Source organism: Homo sapiens, chromosome 5 (assembly GCF_000001405.40).
Source record: "Homo sapiens chromosome 5, GRCh38.p14 Primary Assembly".
Classification (NCBI taxonomy): Eukaryota; Metazoa; Chordata; class Mammalia; order Primates; family Hominidae; genus Homo; species Homo sapiens.
Window position 1 is genome coordinate 545,145 of NC_000005.10, and position 19,493 is coordinate 564,637.

Below are 19,493 nucleotides of genomic sequence, written 5' to 3' on the forward strand. Positions count from 1 at the left end.
CTGTAAAATGTTCGAATCAGCACTCTGTAAAATGGACCAATCAGCAGGACATGGGTGGTGACAACTAATGGAACAAAAGCTGGCCACCCCCCAGCCAGCAGCAGCAACCTACTCTGGTCCCCTTCCATGCTGTGGAAGCTATGTTCTTTCCCTCTCCACAATAAATCTTGCTGCTGTTCACTGTTTGGGTCCACACCACCTTTAAGAGCTGTAACACTCACCGCAAGGGTCCGTGGCTTCATTCCTGAAGTCAGCGAGACCATGAACCCACCGGAAGGAACAAACTCCAGACACATGAGGACCTGTCTGTGCATGAATGCAGCTGTGTGTGCTGTGACAAAAGCAGCTCTGTGGGACATAGGAGTGCTGGGTGTGGGGGTCCCAACCAGATGACCTACCGGGACCTGTGGGCCCAGTGCTAGCCAGGTCTTAGTCAATGCCACTTAAACTAGCCAATTGGAGGCCCTTTTCCACTGGACATGCTGCCGGACTCATCTCCCCTTCTGGACTGAGGGCCTGAGGCCTGAGACTCCATGACCTGTGGGTCAGCACGGGCCAACCGCCTCAGTGGATGGAGCCCAGAGGCTGGATGTGGCCAAGGGCCTGAGTTCTATGGGGCCTTAGGCATCCTGGTGCCCCTTCCCATGGGGTGGGCAAGGCCCGCTGGAGGTTGTGAGGTGTCGAGAGCTGCAGGACATACCACAGGGCGGACGGCAGGCTCCTGGTGGCCACAGTGGGCCCCTGACCACTGACTTTGCAGAATGTGGCCAACTCTTTGTGGAGGGGGAAGAGGGAAGCTGACTCTGCCATGGCCTCTGGGGGTGTCCGTGCTGTGTCAGCAAGTGGGTCTTGGGTGCTCATGGGACCCTGCTGAAGCATCCTTGCTGGGGCCTTCCATAGAGCAGTCACTTAACTGTCTCAGGCCTTCTTCTCGTACAGGCTCTTCCATGGGGTTTTGCTCCCCTAGGGTCCAGCAGCTGAAAGCACAGCAGCCTCCCTGGCTCTTCTCAAGGCCAGCGTCCAAGGAGGGATTGCTGGGGCTGCAGGGAGCACAGGCAGGGCCTCCACCCTGGCCCACCACACTCGCTGGGCAGAGCCCCGCACAACCAGCCCTGAAGCCTGGGATTGCACCTGCTACCCTGCAGGCTAGGTCCTGTTCCAGCCCCAAGCTTTCTCTCCTCCTGTCCTGGCCCCTACAGGTCACGGTGGCTCTGGGAGCCCTGGGAAGGCCCGGGAAAGAGGAGGTCAGGGAAAGTGACTTTGCTTGTCCCTGCAGGGTCTGGAGCAGCTGCCAGGGCTTATCAGGAGGAAAGTCTACCCCGAGGTCACACCTGTCCTTGTGTGGTCCCAGCACTGACATTGGGCAGTCCTATGACCATGCCACCCGGGAGCTTTTTTCAGAAGTGGTGCTAGTGCCAGGCTGTGACCCCAACACCAGCTGCCCTGCCCTATGAGGCCAGCCCTGGGGTCTCCGGATGGCCTTTTGCCGTCCTTTGCCCTTTACCCGACTGGAGACTGAGGCTTGGCTGTCTTAATCCCTGAATGGCCTTGTTCTCGGCTGGGGCGCCATATACTTGGGGCCAAAACCGGGTTAAGGATGGGGCGAGCGGCTCGGGAGACAGCCCCTCCTACCAATAAAGTTCACAGAATTACAGGGCTTGGACTTTGTGACACCTGATTATGTCTGTTGCGACACCCACTTCCTGCTCCCGGATAACTGAGGCAGGAGAGGCCACCCCACAGCTTGTGGGGCTTGAATGGCCAGGAATGGGGTTCCCACCTGCTGCTGCCTCTGTCCAAAGACCAGGATGGGGACTGGGAAGCCTCATGTTTAAAACTTGGACTCAGAGGGTCTCCAGGTGCACCCTGCAGGGACCCTCACCCCTCTGAGTCCAAGTTTTAAACAAGGGACAAGGCGTGCCACTTTGGAGTCAGAGTTGCTTCAAAGTGGGGGCTGTAGCCTGGAGGCCTAGACAATGGCTGCCAGGCTGACTGGGCAGTGGAGAGGGTGAGTGCTGGGGGCACCGAGGGCAGTGCCGGGGCCTCAGGAGCAGCTGCCCAAGGATGGCTCTTCCCTGGACCCTCATCGCAGGCCCGCCCCCTCCTAGAGACCCAGTGGGCTGCAGCCTGTCCAGGTAGGGTGGGGCTGGGGGTACGAACTGTGCAGCCCTCAGAAGCTGCAGACCTGGGTCCACTGCCCCTTCGCTGGGAGTCTTGGCACGGGAGATGGTCAGGGCCACAGGGGCCAGGCAGCCAGGCCCATGACCTTGGGTGTGGTCTGCCCAGGACAACCCTCCCACACCGGCCCACCCCTGGGCCACCTGCCACCGTGAATCCAATGCAAGGCTGTTGTGACACTCACTCCCTGCTCCCAGATAACTGAGGCAGGAGAGGCCACCCCACAGCTTGTGGGGCTCGCTGGCCAGGGATGGGGCTCCCACCTGCTGCTGCCTTTGCTTTGCTTGCCTGACGCTGAGGCACCAGGTTGGAGGAAGCCCTGGCTCTGTGGGGGGGATGCAGGAGCTGGCACCTCACCTGCCTGCTGTGTGTCAGGGCTGGTGTCAAGCCTCCCGCCCAGAAGGGGGCTGGACGTGCTGGACAGTGGCAGGACAAACCGCCAGTGCTGGATTCCACATAGGCTGTGCGCTGTGGGTTCATGCTGCGTCTGCCTAGCGCAGGCAAACGAGTCCAGCTCTGCCCAAACAGGCCGCCTCGCACTGGGAGCAGAGCCTCACCAGGATGCTGCACGTGGCACCTCCTCCCTCCCGTCTCTGCAGGTGCCGACTCGCTGGTGCTCAGTAGCCAGAAATGCACAGTAAATAGGTGTCCTTCGATTCCAAGGAATAAATACCACTTTTTGTCCCACTTTAATATGCCACACAATAATCTGTCTTTGGATTGGGATGCAGTGACGTGAGACATCTTGGTAAAGTCAAAACTGTCTCTCTCAGTTCCGGTAGCTTCAGATCCGACTGCTCTGAACCAGCAAACAGAGACTCCAAATCACAAACCTCCCTGGGAGCCACAAAGCCATTCCCTTTCTCTCACAGGAGCCCATCTATTACTTGTGTTTGAGACACGGCCACCTCAGCGTGTCTCCGTGCTGATTCCCACTGCCCTGAGCCCTGGACAGGGGACCTGTGAGGGCCTCTCACCCCCAGGCAAGGCCACGCCAGTGTGAGCAGCAGCCAGGCTTCTGCTTTTTGAGGGTGCGGAGACGCAGCAGTAAGGAGACAGGACGTCACTCTCAGAGAGCTCCTGACCTCTGCCCCACACACCAGAGACACGTCAGCTCCCGTGGGCCCCAAAGAGAGAGGGCACTCGGCTTAGGGGAGTCTTCCTGGAGGAAGTGATGCTGGGGGCGAGTCCTGAGGGCGGGATTAGCAGGCAAAGGAGAAGGGAAGAAAGTGGCCCAGCAATCCGTTGATTTTAAATGGTGAATCATTTTTCTGCACCACTCACACTGCCAGAAAGAATGAACTGTGGTCCCAGCTTAACATTCTCCAAATGCCTAGCAGGGCATCATGCAACCTCGGGTAGAATCATCCATTTCCCATGGGTTGGCAATGCTGTCTCTGTGATATGCCATTTCCGTATACACCTGAGTCTAGTTCTGGAATTCCAGTTTCTTTTCCCTTAATCCATCTTCACATTCTGGTACCAATCTACCTGAAACTCTACTCGCTGAAATGGTCGATTATGCTCTTCCCTTGATCCGTCTTCACGTTCCGGTACCGATCTACCTGAAACTCTACTGGCTGAAATGGTCGATTATGCTCTTCCCTCGATCCGTCTTCACGTTCTGGTACCGATCTACCTGAAACTCTACTGGCTGAAATGGTCGATTATGCTCTTCCCTCGATCCGTCTTCACGTTCTGGTACCGATCTACCTGAAACTCTACTGGCTGAAATGGTCGATTATGCTCTTCCCTTGATCCGTCTTCACATTCTGGTACCGATCTACCTGAAACTCTACTGGCTGAAATGGTCGATTATGCTCTTCCCTTGATCCGTCTTCACATTCTGGTACCAATCTACCTGAAACTCTACTGGCTGAAATGGTTGATTATGCTCTTCCCTCGATCTGTTTTCACATTCTGGTACCAATCTACCTGAAACTCTACTGGCCGAAATGGTTGATTATGCAAACCCAGCAAGTGAAGAGTCATAAATAAATGATGCTTCAATTTGAATTTTAATGATATGGAAAAATGTTCTCTGTGTGATGTGAGGGAAAAAAATCAACATCTACATATGCAAATTGATGCATATTGTGATTGTCTGAGGAATATTCTATATGCACAGAAAAGTGACTGGGCTGAAATGTAATTGGATCTTAACAATGCTCTAGATAGTAAGATTTGGGATGGGTTTTACTTTATTAACTTTTAGTTTTCTATAGCTTCTAATTGTTTTTAAATAGTGAACACACATGGCATACACACAAATGAATAAAGAGTTATTTTGAAAAGTGAGGCCGGGCATGGTGGCTCATGCCTTTAATCCCAGCACTTTGGGAGGCCGAGATGGGCAGATCACGAGGTCAGGAGATTGAGACCATCCTGGCTAACACAGTGAAATCCCATCTCTACTAAAAATAAAAAAAATTAGCCAGGCGTGGTGGCAGATGCCTGTAGTCCCAGCTACTCGGGAGGCTGAGGCAGGAGAATGGCATGAACCCAGGAGGTGGAGCTTGCAGTGAGCCAAGATCACGCCACTGCACTCCAGCCTGGGTGACAGAGCGAGACTCCATCTAAAAAAAAAAAAAGAAAAGTGAGTTCACTTCCTCCTCCAGCTGTGATGGAGTCACTGGATCAGGTTTACCACCTGCCTGAAACAAACAAACTAGAAAACAATACGGGAAACAAAGGTTTTGAAGACACTGGACACTGGACAACATAGGACAGTCATCCCTAAGACAGGGGGAAGCAAATTAACAATGTACTATGGGATTATATTAGGTTGGTGAAAAAGTAATTGCGGTTTTTTGCATATGTGAAAAGAATGCATGGCTTAAATAGCAGGAAGGCTGGGAGGAAAGATATGGAAGATGCTGCTGTAAGGTTGTTAACTGGTATAATATCAATAAAGGTAGACGGTGATAAACCAAAGATGTATATTATAAGCCCTAAAGCCATCACTGAACACAACAAAGAATAATAGCTAAAAACTGAACAAAAGAGATAAAATGGAATCTTAGAAAAATAATGCAAAGGAAAACAGAAAAAAAGGAGAAAGAGAATGAACAGAGATAGGACAAATAGAAACAAATAGAAAAATGGTAGATTTATTTTTATTTTTTGAGACAGAGTCTCACTCTGTTGCCCAGGCTGGAGTGCAATGGTGCAATCTTGGCTCACTGCAACCTCTACCTCCCAGGTTCAAGTGATTCTCCTGCCTCAGCCTCCTCAGTAGCTGAGATTACAGGCGTGTGCCACCACGCCTGGCTAATTTTTGTATTTTGAGTAGAGACAGGGTTTCACCATGTTTGGCCAGGCTGGTCTTGAACCCCTGGCCTCAAGTGATCTGCCCACCTCGGCCTCCCAAAGTGCTGGGATTACAGGCATGAGCCACCGTGCCTGGCCTGAAAAATGGTATATTTAAACTTAGCCTTATCATCAATCATATTAAATATAAATGATCTAAATATCCCAATTAAAAAGCAAAGTTGTCAGATTGAAAAAAACAAACCAAAACCTAACTGTGTGCCCCCTTTAAGAAACACACGTTAAATACAAAGGCACAGATAAGCAATAAATAGAAGACTGGGCAAAAATACACCATGCTAATCCTTATCAAATAAATCTGGAGGTGTTAAATTAGTATCAAAGTTGGAAACAACTCAATGTGCCTCAACAGGTCTGGGGATAAATAGATTGTGGTACATCCATACAATGGTAGACAGCTGAGATCTAAAAAGGAATGAAATATTGATACATGTAAAACCATAGATAAATGTCAAAATTGTTTTCTGAGTGAAATAAGGCAAACCAAAGAAAGGTAGTTAGTGTATTATTACATTTCTATGAAATTTATAGAAAATGCCAACTAGTCAATAGCGACAGAAAGCAGATCAGTGGCTGCCCGGGGGTTGGGAGGAGAGAGGTGTTGCAAAGACGAAGGAGAAATCTTTGGATGGATGGAGATTGTTCTTTATCTTGTTTATGGTGGTGGTTTCACCAGTGTGGACACATGTCAAACCATCAAATTGACACTTTATGTAGTTTACTGTATGTCAATTATACCTCAGTAAAGCTGTTAAATAAAAAGTGGATGCATGGAAAGTTTTATAGCACCTCTTGTTAAAAAAAAAAAAACAACCTCTAAATTTAGGTGATTCTCAGTTCTGAGTGGCTCTCAGTTGGTTACTGCACCAGAATCCGTGGTTTTTCATTCCTGTCCTAGAGCAAGCCCCAGAAGCTGGAAGATTTTCATCAAGAGGCCAGGCGCAGTGGCTCACACTTGTAATCCCAGAACTTTGGGAGGCCGAGGCGGGTGGATCACCTGAGGTCAAAAGTTTGAGACCAGCCTGACCAAAGTGGTGAAACCCCATCTCTACTAAATATACAAAATTAGCCGGGCATGGTGATATATGCCCGTCATCCCAGCTACTTGGGAGGTGGGGGCAGGAGAATCACTTGATCCCAGGAGGTGGAGGTTGCAGTGAGCCGAGGTCACGCCATTGCACTCCAGCCTGGGCAATAAGAGTGAAACTTCATCTCAAAAATGAATAAATAAATAAAATATATAAAAAAGATTTTCATCAAAAGATGTCACATCCAGGACCCAGGCTTGACCAGGAGAAATAAGGGTCCCCTGGGTGGGCTGTGAGGGGACTCCGGGTGGAGGACCCAGGAGAAGCATCTACAGTGGCTGTTAACTTCAGAGGTAAAGAAAACACCAGATGATGACAGAGAGATTTCTGATGGCAACAGGTGACAGCGTCAGCTGGAGAAAAATGAAAACTGCAGCTACAACCTCACATCTCTAACAAGCCTACAGCCCAGCCTCCCATCTCTAACAAGCCTACAGCCTCCCATCTCTAACAAGCCTACAGCCTCCCATCTCTAACAAGCCTACAGCCTCCCATCTCTAACAAGCCTACAGCCTCCCATCTCTAACAAACCTACAGCCTCCCTTCTCTAACAAACCTAACAGCCTCCCATCTCTAACAAACCTAACAGCCTCCCATCTCTAACAAACCTACAGCCTCCCATCTCTAACAAGCCTACAGCCTCCCATCTCTAACAAACCTACAGCCTCCCATCTCTAACAAGCCTACAGCCTCCCATCTCTAACAAACCTAACAGCCTCCCATCTCTAACAAACCTACAGCCTCCCTTCTCTAACAAACCTAACAGCCTCCCATCTCTAATAAACCTAACAGCCTCCCATCTCTAACAAACCTAACAGCCTCCCATCTCTAACAAGCCTACAGCCTCCCATCTCTAACAAACCTACAGCCTCCCATCTCTAACAAACCTAACAGCCTCCCATCTCTAACAAACCTACAGCCTCCCTTCTCTAACAAACCTAACAGCCTCCCATCTCTAATAAACCTAACAGCCTCCCATCTCTAACAAACCTAACAGCCTCCCATCTCTAACAAGCCTACAGCCTCCCATCTCTAACAAACCTACAGCCTCCCATCTCTAACAAACCTACAGCCTCCCATCTCTAACAAACCTAACAGCCTCCCATCTCTAACAAACCTACAGCCTCCCTTCTCTAACAAACCTAACAGCCTCCCATCTCTAATAAACCTAACAGCCTCCCATCTCTAACAAACCTAACAGCCTCCCATCTCTAACAAACCTACAGCCTCCCTTCTCTAACAAACCTAACAGCCTCCCATCTCTAATAAACCTAACAGCCTCCCATCTCTAACAAACCTAACAGCCTCCCATCTCTAACAAGCCTACAGCCTCCCATCTCTAACAAACCTACAGCCTCCCATCTCTAACAAACCTAACAACCTCCCATCTCTAACAAACCTACAGCCTCCCTTCTCTAACAAACCTAACAGCCTCCCATCTCTAATAAACCTAACAGCCTCCCATCTCTAACAAACCTAACAGCCTCCCATCTCTAACAAGCCTACAGCCTCCCATCTCTAACAAGCCTACAGCCTCCCATCTCTAACAAGCCTACAGCCTCCCATCTCTAACAAACCTAACAGCCTCCCATCTCTAACAAACCTACAGCCTCCCTTCTCTAACAAACCTAACAGCCTCCCATCTCTAATAAACCTAACAGCCTCCCATCTCTAACAAACCTAACAGCCTCCCATCTCTAACAAGCCTACAGCCTCCCATCTCTAACAAACCTACAGCCTCCCATCTCTAACAAACCTAACAGCCTCCCATCTCTAACAAACCTACAGCCTCCCTTCTCTAACAAACCTAACAGCCTCCCATCTCTAACAAACCTACAGCCTCCCATCTCTAACAAACCTAACAGCCTCCCATCTCTAACAAACCTACAGCCTCCCATCTCTAACAAACCTAACAGCCTCCCATCTCTAACAAACCTACAGCCTCCCATCTCTAACAAGCCTACAGCCTCCCATCTCTAACAAGCCTACAGCCTCCCATCTCTAACAAACCTACGGCCTCCCATCTCTAACAAACCTACAGCCTCCCTTCTCTAACAAACCTAACAGCCTCCCATCTCTAACAAGCCTACAGCCTCCCTTCTCTAACAAACCTAACAGCCTCCCATCTCTAACAAGCCTACAGCCTCGCATTTCTGACGTTTCCTTTTGGGTCTGGGATCACTTGTACAGTCTTTACAAAGTATTTGATTACAGACTGAACTACAGGCAGTGGTCACACAGTTCGGGGAATATCAGGAGTCAGATAACATGGGGAAAATCAGTGCCGCGTTCTGGGATTCCTGGCCATTTCCTTCCTGGCTGAGAGCCTCGTATGCAAATCTCCAAACATCACACCGGGGCGGGGTGCACAGGAGAGCCGAGTGAGGCCCTGGCCCCTATGCCGCTTGCCAGGTTCACCTTCAGGGTGATTGTAGCATTTTTATGGCAAGGAAAATAAACGAGCCGTTACCTTTCACCAAATCGCACTGTATTTTATTCATTTAGGGTGTACACACCTATCTGCTCTTCAAAGGAATTTTGGGCAGATTGTAAAATTACGCTCAACATACAGCAAGGCGACTATAAATACAAAAGCAGCACTGAGGTGCTGGTGCTGCGGGTGGGTCACGGGATAAACCAGGCGTGGGGTCTGGGTCACGGGATGACCCGAGGGTGGGTCACGGGATAAACCAGGGGTGGGGTCTGGGTCACAGGATGACCCGGGGGTGGGTCACGGGATAAACCAGGGGTGGGGGGCTGGGTCACGGGATGAACGGGGGGCGGGTCACAGGATGAACCGTGGGCGGGTCATGGGATAAACCAGGGTGGGGTCTGGGTCACAGGATGACCCGGGGGTGGGTCACGGGATAAACCAGGGGTGGGGGGTGGGTCACGGGATGAACGGGGGGCGGGTCACAGGATGAACCGTGGGTGGGTCATGGGATAAACCAGGGTGGGGTCTGGGTCACGGGATGAACGGGGTTGGGGGCTGGGTCACGGGATGAACCGGGGGGTGGGTCACGGGATGAACGGGGGGGGGGTGGGTCACGGGCTAAACCGGGGTTGGGGGTGGGTCACGGGATGAACGGGGTTGGGGGCTGGGTCACGGGATGAACGGGGGGTGGGTCACGGGATGAACAGGGGGTGGGTCACGGGATAAACCGGGGTGGGGGGCTGGGTCATGGGATGAACGGGGGGTGGGTCACGGGATGAACCGGGGTGGGGGGTGGGTCATGGGATGAACCGGGGTGGGGGGCTGGGTCATGGGATGAACCGGGGTGGGGGGCTGGGTCATGGGATGAACGGGGGGGTGGGTCACGGGATGAACCGGGGTGAGGGGTGGGTCACCGGATGAACGGGGGTGGGTCATGGGATGAACCAGGGGTTTCCGAGGTCGCAGGCGGCTTCCTTGCCCCGTGACCTGGCTGGGGCTGCTTAACTTATGAGCAGTTCGGCTTCCTCGCGGGCGCCGGGGCGGTGCTGCCTTCTCACACTGCAGTCCTGTGAATATTCCATGCAGTCAGAAGCTCAGGCGGTTCAGGGTGTGGTGGGGCCGCCCAGGACCAGGACCCCTCCGCATGGGGACCAACCCCTGTTCCACAGCTGGGGAGGGCTAGTGGCTGACACCACAGTGATGAGGCTCTTAACAATTGCTTCTGCCCTCAGGAGGGTAGCCCAGCACCCCCCTGGGGGAGGGGCCCGACCCAAAAACTGGCCAGCAGTGGGCACATCAGGCCCCTGGGCCTCGACACCAAGGGGGTGATGGGCTCCAGAGTGCCCGTCGCCGCTGCCCAACTCTGCCCCCAGGTGTGAGTCCCTCGAGCCCTCCGCATAAACCTCTGTGCCCTGGAACCCGACGGGGACACAAGCGGGAAGTTGACAGCCATGCCCTCTGGAACCTTTAGAAAAGAAACCGGCCCAGTGCAAGGTCGTTCAATGCAGAGCCTCTCCTGAGCACAAACAAAATCCAGATGAGTGTCCGCACGGGGCCGTGCGGAGGTCACGGGAGCTGCAGTGTGGGCCGTGGATGGCTCCCTCCCGTACCAAAGGCCGGCGTGAAGACAAGAACACAGGCAGGCAGACGGCAGTGAAAAGCAGCCAGAAATGGAGGAGCTTCAGAGAGGCCGAAGTCTGAAACAGCCCGAAATGGAGGGGGTTCAGAGGGCCCGAAGCGGGACGCACCTGCTCCCTCCCGGGGTGCCGGGGCTGTCAGGGAGGGGTGGGCCGAGAAGTGTGGATGGGTACATGGAGGGTCCCGGGCCCTCGGGGTCTGGCTGGTAGCACTGGGAGGAGGTGAAAAGCAAGGCTTGTGAGGGCTCAGCTCCCAGAGTTGCAACTCTGCGGACTGCAGCGGGGCCTTGGCTCCACCTGCGCTTCTGGTCTCGGCTGCCCTGACAGCCACTGGGCTCCAGGCAGGCCTGGGTGGTGAGGACGGCGCTGGGCTGCGGCCACCAGATCCATGGCTTCCCTGGACAATGACGGGTCAGCCAGACGCTCTAGCTGAGTCAGGGCCTAGGAAACCCCCGCTCCCCCGCCCCATACATGTGAGTCTCCCAAGGGGAGAGCCTAAGGAATGCTGAGACGCAGCGGGTGGGGGAGCGGAAAAGTGTTGGCTCAGGAGCTACCATTTTTTTGTGTGTGTGTGACGGAGTTTTGCTCTGTGGCGCAGGCTGGAGTGCAGTGATGTGATCTCGGCTCACTGCAAGCTCCGCCTCCCAGGTTCACGCCATTCTCCTGCCTCGGCCTCCCCCCAGTAGCTGGGACTACAGGCGCCTGCCACCACGCCCGGCTAAGTTTTCATATTTTTAAGAGACAGGGTTTCATGGTGTTAACCAGATGGTCTTGATTCCTGACCTTGTGATCCACCCGCCTCGGCCTCCCAAAGTGCTGGGATTACAGGGATGAGCCACCGCGCCGGCCACGAGCTACCATCTTAATGCAGAGTGTCGAAGTCTCTCTCCTTGCTGTGCCCAGCCTGGGGTGCCAGGCTGGGTTCTTGGAATCTGGAGGCTGTGCTGCCCAGGGCAGGACTTCCATGTTCCTGGAGCTTGGCCCTTGTGGGCCCGGGGCAGCATCAGCAGGGGTGGCTCTCATGCCCCGGGGCTGCCTCTTTCTCCCCTCAGTGAAGACAGGGTCTGTGCCACTCTGGGCCTCCAGTGTCCCCACCAAGGAGCAGGCACAGCCCCGTGGGACCCAAGGAGCTGCCGTTCCCCTCTGTGCCTCTTTGCTGTGGACTCTGACCTTCTACCTTATTTCTGATTAAGTCTAAAAAAAGACAGGAAAAACCAACACGAGCACATCACGTCACCGAGATACAGGGCAGCGGTCAGGGCCGTGAAGTCCCCGGCTCTGCAGAATCCAATGGGGAGAGCAGTGGCGAGGGTGGCCCTGTGTGCAGAGGTGGCTGCCTGCCCCTGCCGCCCAGCAACCCCCAGCCCAGCCAAGGTCAAGGCCAGTGGGAGGAGCGGCGGGTTTCTGGACAACACCCAGCAATCAAGGCCCCACTGAGGTCGCTCAGACCACACCCTCGGATCCTCCAGCCACACTCAACAGCACTGCCGGGAAAATGGACGGAGCTTGATGTCTCTGCCAGCACCTTTACCTCTGCCCCAGACGAAACACTGTTCAGATCACTCACCCTGCCAGGCTCACCACCCTACTGGGACCAACACCCTACGCAGACCACCACACTGCCCGGACCACCACACTGCCCGGACCACTCACCCTGCCTGGACCACCACACTGCCCAGACCACCACACTGCCCGAACCACCACACTGTCCGGACCACTCACCCTGCCCGGACCACCACACTGCCCGGACCACCACACTGCCCGGACCACTCACCCTGTTAAGACTACCACCCTACCCGGACCACCACACTGCCTGGAGCACTCACACTGCCCGGATCACCACACTGCCTAGACTACTCACCCTGCCCAGACCACCACACTGCCTGGAGCACTCACACTGCCCGAACCACCACACTGTCCGGACCACTCACCCTGCCCGGACCACCACACTGCCTGGAGCATTCACACTGCCCGAACCACCACACTGTCCGGACCACTCACCCTGCCCGGACCACCACACTGCCCGGACCACCACACTGCCCGGACCACTCACCCTGTTAAGACTACCACCCTACCCGGACCACCACACTGCCTGGAGCACTCACACTGCCCGGATCACCACACTGCCTAGACTACTCACCCTGCCCAGACCACCACACTGCCTGGAGCACTCACACTGCCCGGATCACCACACTGCCTAGACTACTCACCCTGCCCAGACCACCACACTGCCTGGAGCACTCACCCTACCTAGGCCACACACTGCTTAGACCACCACACTGCCCTGACCACTCACCACCACCCTACCTGGACCACTCATCATGCCTGGACCACCACACTGCCCGGACCACCACACAGCTTGGACAACCCGCATTGCCACTCACAATGCTAAGTGCAGGAGTCCCAAGGGCCCTTTCTGTAGTAAATGGGGGTTGGTTTGAGAGGTCTGGGTGATTTTACCTTCCTTGGAAAAGAATTTCCTCTCCATCTGGCAGGGAATGGGCTGGGCAGACCCCTAAATCCAGTGATAATCAAACACGGTATGCCTTGAACCCCAGGGATCTTGTTTAAATGCAGTCTCCGTCCCAGCAGGGCCAGGTGGGCCTGAGACTCTGCACTTCCCACAGCTCCTGGGACACCGTTGCTGCTGGACCCCGGGGCACACTGAGCCATGAGGCCCGGTCTGGGTAGGATGGAGGCGATCCCTGCGGCCTGGGTCCCAGAGAGGGCAGGCCTCTCTGGTCCTCCTGCCACTTTAAGGGTGTGAGTCAGGGACCAAGGACTCAAAGGCCCTCAGAGGTGCTGAGTGTTGGGCAGCCTGGAAGCAGCTTCACCTCTAGTCTGTTTTCTCCAGCGCCTGGGGCCCTGAGCGGTGCTTTTGCCTTTCCAGCCCCTTTTCTGATGGTCCTCACGGAGGATGGGCCGCCTCCCGGGGCGCTGAGCAGGTGCTTTTGCCTTTCCAGCCCCTTTTCTGATGGTCCTCACGGAGGATGGGCCGCCTCCCGGGGCGCTGAGCAGGTGCTTTTGCCTTTCCAGCCCCTTTTCTGATGGTCCTCACGGAGGATGGGCCGCCTCCTGGGGCGCTGAGGAGGTGCTTTTGCCTTTCCAGCCCCTTTTCTGATGGTCCTCACGGAGGATGGGCCGCCTCCTGGGGCGCTGAGCCACTGCTTTTGCCTTTCCAGCCCCTTTTCTGGTGGTCCTCACGGAGGATGGGCCGCCGCCCGGGGCGCTGAGCAGGTGCTTTTGCCTTTCCAGCCCCTTTACCTGTGGTCCTCACGGAGGATGGGCCGCCGCCTGGGGCGCTGAGCAGGTGCTTTTGCCTTTCCAGCCCCTTTTCTGGTGGTCCTCACGGAGGATGGGCTGCCCCAGCCATCAGCACAATTTAGGAGGGGCTTTGTTTCCTTGGAGGGTGGCAGGTTTTTAATCCTGGATCCCGTTCTTCGGTGGTTATAAAACTGTTCGGATTTCACGTCTCCTTGATTGACAGCTTATGTTTTGCGAGGAAATTGTTCGTTTTGTATGTGTGCATCTGTACATGCGTTATGCACGCGGGACACGCACACGGAGATACCGAGTTTCCGCCGGGTCCCTTTGCTCCCATTTCTGTTTCCAACATCAACCATTTGTGCTTCTCTTTTTTCGTGCCAGCGTGTCGTGTTGTCTGTTTCATTATTTCAAAAACCAGCAAGGCTCCACAAGGCTCCATTGATTCTCACCATCCTGAGGCTCAAGGAACACAGCAGACAGAGATCTCTTCCTCTGTGGGGCTGCCACATGGTGCATTTTAATTGGTAGAATGTTTATTACTCCTCTGTGGGTTTGCATTTCCTTTCCTTTGCCTTTTTTTTTTTTTTTTTTTTGAGACAGGGTCTCACTCTGTCACCCAGGCTGGAGTGCCGTGGTGCAATCTCAGCTCACTGCAGCCTCAACCACCCTGAGCTCAAGCCATTGTCCCACCTCAGCCTCCCCAGTAGCTGGGACCACAGGCACATGCCACCATGCCTGGCTAATTCTTCTTATTATTTATTTTGTAGAGACAGGGTTTTGCCATGTTGCTCAGACTGGTCTTAAACTCCTGGCCTCAAATGATCCTCCCACCCTGGCCTCCTAAGGTGCTGGGATTCCAGGTGTGAGCCATCATGCCCAGCCTTGTCCAGCTTCTTTTTTTTTTGAGACAGTGTCTCACTCTGTCGCCCAGTCTGCAGTGCAATGGCGCGATCTTGGCTCACTGCAACCTCTGCCTCCCAGGTTCAAGCGATTCTCCTACCTCAGCCTCCTGAGTAGCTGGGACTACAGATATGCGCCACCATACCCAGCTAATTTTTGTATTTTTAGTACAGACGGGGTTTCACCATGTTGGCCAGGATGGTCTCAATCTCCTGACCTCTTGATCCGCCCGCCTTGGCCTCCCAAAGTGCTGGGATTACAGGCCTGAGCCACCGCACCTGGCCTGTCCAGCTTCTTAAGCTGCTTGTTTTGCTTATTAACACGGTCTTCTCATTTTCTCATGCAGCTATTAAGACTGTGAACATCCTTGAAGGGTCACCGCACTCTCATGGATCATGTCTATGGTCTCCCTGGGAGGCAGCGCCCACGCTGGGGTCTGCCCGGCAAGGCCTCACCCAGAGCTGCCTGCCATCTGTGTCCAGCCCTCTCTCTCTGTCCCCAACTTTCTATCAATCAGCTATCATCTATCACCTGTCTGTATCAATCTGTCCATGTCTGTCATCTGTCTGTTTACCTCCCTCTATCGACCACTTATCTGATCATCTCCCAACCAATTTCCCTCCTGTCTGTCCATCTATCATCTATTCATCTGTCCATTTACCCATCCATCTATCATCCGTCTCAATTTCTGTATCCATGAATCACCTGTATCTTCATCTTTACCTATATCTACCTCTCTCTCCCTTTCTATATCTCTATGTCTCTCCATCTGTATGTTTGTCTATCATCCATGTACCTCACTGGCTGTATAATCTTCTGAGGCAGGAACATTCTGGAAGGCACTGGGCTTATTTAGCCATTCCTCCATCCTTGGCTGACCTGTCAGCTGTCCAGGTTTCCATTGTGACATGAGCTGCTGCTTCGGTTGATGTTCCAGTCTCTCGGCCTCTGCCTGCGTCCTGCACCTTCCTGTGGTGGAAACTCGAGGTCTGTGTGGAGCGGCCCCCGGCTGGCCCCGCAGCGCATGCAGCCTGGAGAGGAGTCGTGTGGCCCGGGCAAATGGCGACGTGTCTTCCATAAACCCTGGGTGTGGAAGGTGTGTTTCCTTCTTGCCCAAACCTCTGTTTAAGGGATATTATTCATTTTTGTTTTCACCAGGCTCTTTTAAAAAGGTACAACAATAATTCTTTGAAAAAAATGTATTGTCTGCTCAACTGTGAGGTTCCAGAAAGGGGAGAAAGCCATCCCAGCTGTAGGTCCAGGGTCTCTGAGTGACCCCGGAAGAAAGGCAGCATGAGCATAAGTCCTCAGAGGGGGTCCCCAAACCGGGGGACGGAAGCCCTGTTCTTGAACCCCAGTTCTTCCCCTCTGTGGTCTGGGGGAGCAGACTCAGAGCCTCAGTTTCCCCATCAGCAAGATGGTGGTCCTTGGAGTCCCTTCCAGCATTACGGCTGTGGCTGTGCTGTTTGCCTTTAGCGGGTTGAAAGGGAAAGACAGGAGGGAAGCAAACCCTTGCGCTCAGTGTTCTGGCGCTGTGAAGAAAATGTACCAGCTGCCCAGAGGTCCTGTAGACCAGTCCCCAGGAGGGAGTCCTCCCCCAGATGGAGGAGAGCCCGGGTGTGCGGGATCCTGAGAGGCCAGAACACCAGGCAGGCGGGGCAGGGTGGAGATGCCCCGGCCGCTGGTGCCAGGCTGCATATGCACCGCTGGTGGGCACCAGATCCCTCCCAACACGGACGACCGGACAGCACCAACACAGGCCCCCGCAGAGGGGCGCAGCTGACGGGACGGCGCCGACACAGGCCCCCGCAGAGGGGCTCAGCTGACGGGAGGGCGACAACACAGGCCCCCGCAGAGGGGCGCAGCTGACGGGACGGCGCCGACACAGGCCCCCGCAGAGGGGTTCAGCTCAGGGGACGGCGCCGACACAGGCCCCCGCAGAGGGGCTCAGCTCAGGGGACGGCGCCGACACAGGCCCCCGCAGAGGGGTTCAGCTCAGGGGACGGCGACGACACAGGCCCCCGCAGAGGGGTTCAGCTCAGGGGACGGCGACGACACAGGCCCCCGCAGAGGGGTTCAGCTCAGGGGACGGCGCCGACACAGGCCCCCGCAGAGGGGCTCAGCTCAGGGGACGGCGCCGACACAGGCCCCCGCAGAGGGGCGCAGCTGACGGGAGGGCGACAACACAGGCCCCCGCAGAGGGGCTCAGCTCAGGGGACGGCGACGACACAGGCCCCCGCAGAGGGGCGCAGCTGACGGGACGGCGCCGACACAGGCCCCCGCAGAGGGGCGCAGCTGACGGGACGGCGCCGACACAGGCCCCCGCAGAGGGGTTCAGCTCAGGGAACGGCGACAACACAGGCCCCCGCAGAGGGGTTCAGCTCAGGGGACGGCGACGACACAGGCCCCCGCAGAGGGGCGCAGCTGACGGGACGGCGCCGACACAGGCCCCCGCAGAGGGGCGCAGCTGACGGGACGGCGCCGACACAGGCCCCCGCAGAGGGGTTCAGCTCAGGGAACGGCGACAACACAGGCCCCCGCAGAGGGGTTCAGCTCAGGGGACGGCGACGACACAGGCCCCCGCAGAGGGGTTCAGCTCAGGGGACGGCGACGACACAGGCCCCCGCAGAGGGGTTCAGCTCAGGGGAGGGCGACAACACAGGCTCCCCGCAGAGGGGTTCAGCTCAGGGGACGGCGACAACACAGGCCCCCGCAGAGGGGCGCAGCTGACGGGACGGCGCCGACACAGGCCCCCGCAGAGGGGCGCAGCTGACGGGACGGCGCCGACACAGGCCCCCGCAGAGGGGTTCAGCTCAGGGAACGGCGACAACACAGGCCCCCGCAGAGGGGTTCAGCTCAGGGGACGGCGACGACACAGGCCCCCGCAGAGGGGTTCAGCTCAGGGGACGGCGACGACACAGGCCCCCGCAGAGGGGTTCAGCTCAGGGGAGGGCGACAACACAGGCTCCCCGCAGAGGGGTTCAGCTCAGGGGACGGCGACAACACAGGCCCCCGCAGAGGGGCGCAGCTGACGGGACGGCGCCGACACAGGCCCCCGCAGAGGGGCGCAGCTGACGGGACGGCGCCGACACAGGCCCCCGCAGAGGGGTTCAGCTCAGGGAACGGCGACAACACAGGCCCCCGCAGAGGGGTTCAGCTCAGGGGACGGCGACGACACAGGCCCCCGCAGAGGGGTTCAGCTCAGGGGACGGCGACGACACAGGCCCCCGCAGAGGGGTTCAGCTCAGGGGAGGGCGACAACACAGGCTCCCCGCAGAGGGGTTCAGCTCAGGGGACGGCGCCGACACAGGCCCCCGCAGAGGGGTTCAGCTCAGGGGACGGCGACAACACAGGCCCCCGCAGAGGGGCGCAGCTGACGGGACGGCGCCGACACAGGCCCCCGCAGAGGGGCGCAGCTGACGGGACGGCGCCGACACAGGCCCCCGCAGAGGGGTTCAGCTCAGGGAACGGCGACAACACAGGCCCCCGCAGAGGGGTTCAGCTCAGGGGACGGCGACGACACAGGCCCCCGCAGAGGGGCGCAGCTGACGGGACGGCGCCGACACAGGCCCCCGCAGAGGGGCGCAGCTGACGGGACGGCGCCGACACAGGCCCCCGCAGAGGGGTTCAGCTCAGGGGACGGCGCCGACACAGGCCCCCGCAGAGGGGCTCAGCTCAGGGGACGGCGCCGACACAGGCCCCCGCAGAGGGGTTCAGCTCAGGGGACGGCGCCGACACAGGCCCCCGCAGAGGGGTTCAGCTCAGGGGACGGCGCCGACACAGGCCCCCGCAGAGGGGCTCAGCTCAGGGGACGGCGCCGACACAGGCCCCCGCAGAGGGGTTCAGCTGACGGGACGGCGCCGACACAGGCCCCCGCAGAGGGGCTCAGCTCAGGGGACAGCGCCGACACAGGCCCCCGCAGAGGGGCTCAGCTCAGGGGACGGCGCCGACACAGGCCCCCGCAGAGGGGTTCAGCTCAGGGGACGGCGCCGACACAGGCCCCCGCAGAGGGGTTCAGCTCAGGGGACGGCGCCGACACAGGCCCCCGCAGAGGGGTTCAGCTCAGGGGACGGCGCCGACACAGGCCCCCGCAGAGGGGTTCAGCTCAGGGGACGGCGACGACACAGGCCCCCGCAGAGGGGTTCAGCTCAGGGGACGGCGCCGACACAGGCCCCCGCAGAGGGGCTCAGCTGACGGGACGGCGCCGACACAGGCCCCCGCAGAGGGGCTCAGCTCAGGGGACAGCGCCGACACAGGCCCCCGCAGAGGGGCTCAGCTCAGGGGACGGCGACGACACAGGCCCCCGCAGAGGGGTTCAGCTCAGGGGACGGCGCCGACACAGGCCCCCGCAGAGGGGCTCAGCTCAGGGGACGGCGCCGACACAGGCCCCCGCAGAGGGGTTCAGCTCAGGGGACGGCGCCGACACAGGCCCCCGCAGAGGGGCTCAGCTCAGGGGACGGCGCCGACACAGGCCCCCGCAGAGGGGTTCAGCTCAGGGGACGGCGCCGACACAGGCCCCCGCAGAGGGGCTCAGCTCAGGGGACGGCGCCGACACAGGCCCCCGCAGAGGGGTTCAGCTCAGGGGACGGCGCCGACACAGGCCCCCGCAGAGGGGCTCAGCTCAGGGGACGGCGCCGACACAGGCCCCCGCAGAGGGGC

General features: G+C 57.0%; 1 long non-coding RNA gene across 1 annotated transcript, besides 2 other annotated features; it reads right to left on the reverse strand.

Moving 5' to 3' along the window:
• LOC105374606 (uncharacterized) lies at nucleotides 9,917-11,243 on the reverse strand. Its single transcript, XR_925669.2, has 3 exons — nucleotides 10,641-11,243; nucleotides 10,496-10,546; nucleotides 9,917-10,097 (listed from the first exon to the last, which is right to left on the reverse strand). It is a non-coding gene; the product is annotated as an uncharacterized LOC105374606 (long non-coding RNA).
• Nucleotides 11,241-11,741: an enhancer, noted in NCBI's record as "H3K4me1 hESC enhancer chr5:556500-557000 (GRCh37/hg19 assembly coordinates)". NCBI's record gives its function as "activates a minimal SCP1, AML or CMV promoter by ChIP-STARR-seq in primed H9 embryonic stem cells {active_cell/tissue: H9 hESC(primed)}" and the evidence as "EXISTENCE:reporter gene assay evidence [ECO:0000049][PMID:30033119]".
• Nucleotides 15,767-15,936: an enhancer, noted in NCBI's record as "experimental_86175 CRE fragment used in MPRA reporter constructs". NCBI's record gives its function as "activates a minimal promoter by MPRAs in K562 erythroleukemia cells, with activity observed for the introgressed 5:561111 variant allele {active_cell/tissue: K562}" and the evidence as "EXISTENCE:reporter gene assay evidence [ECO:0000049][PMID:34662402]".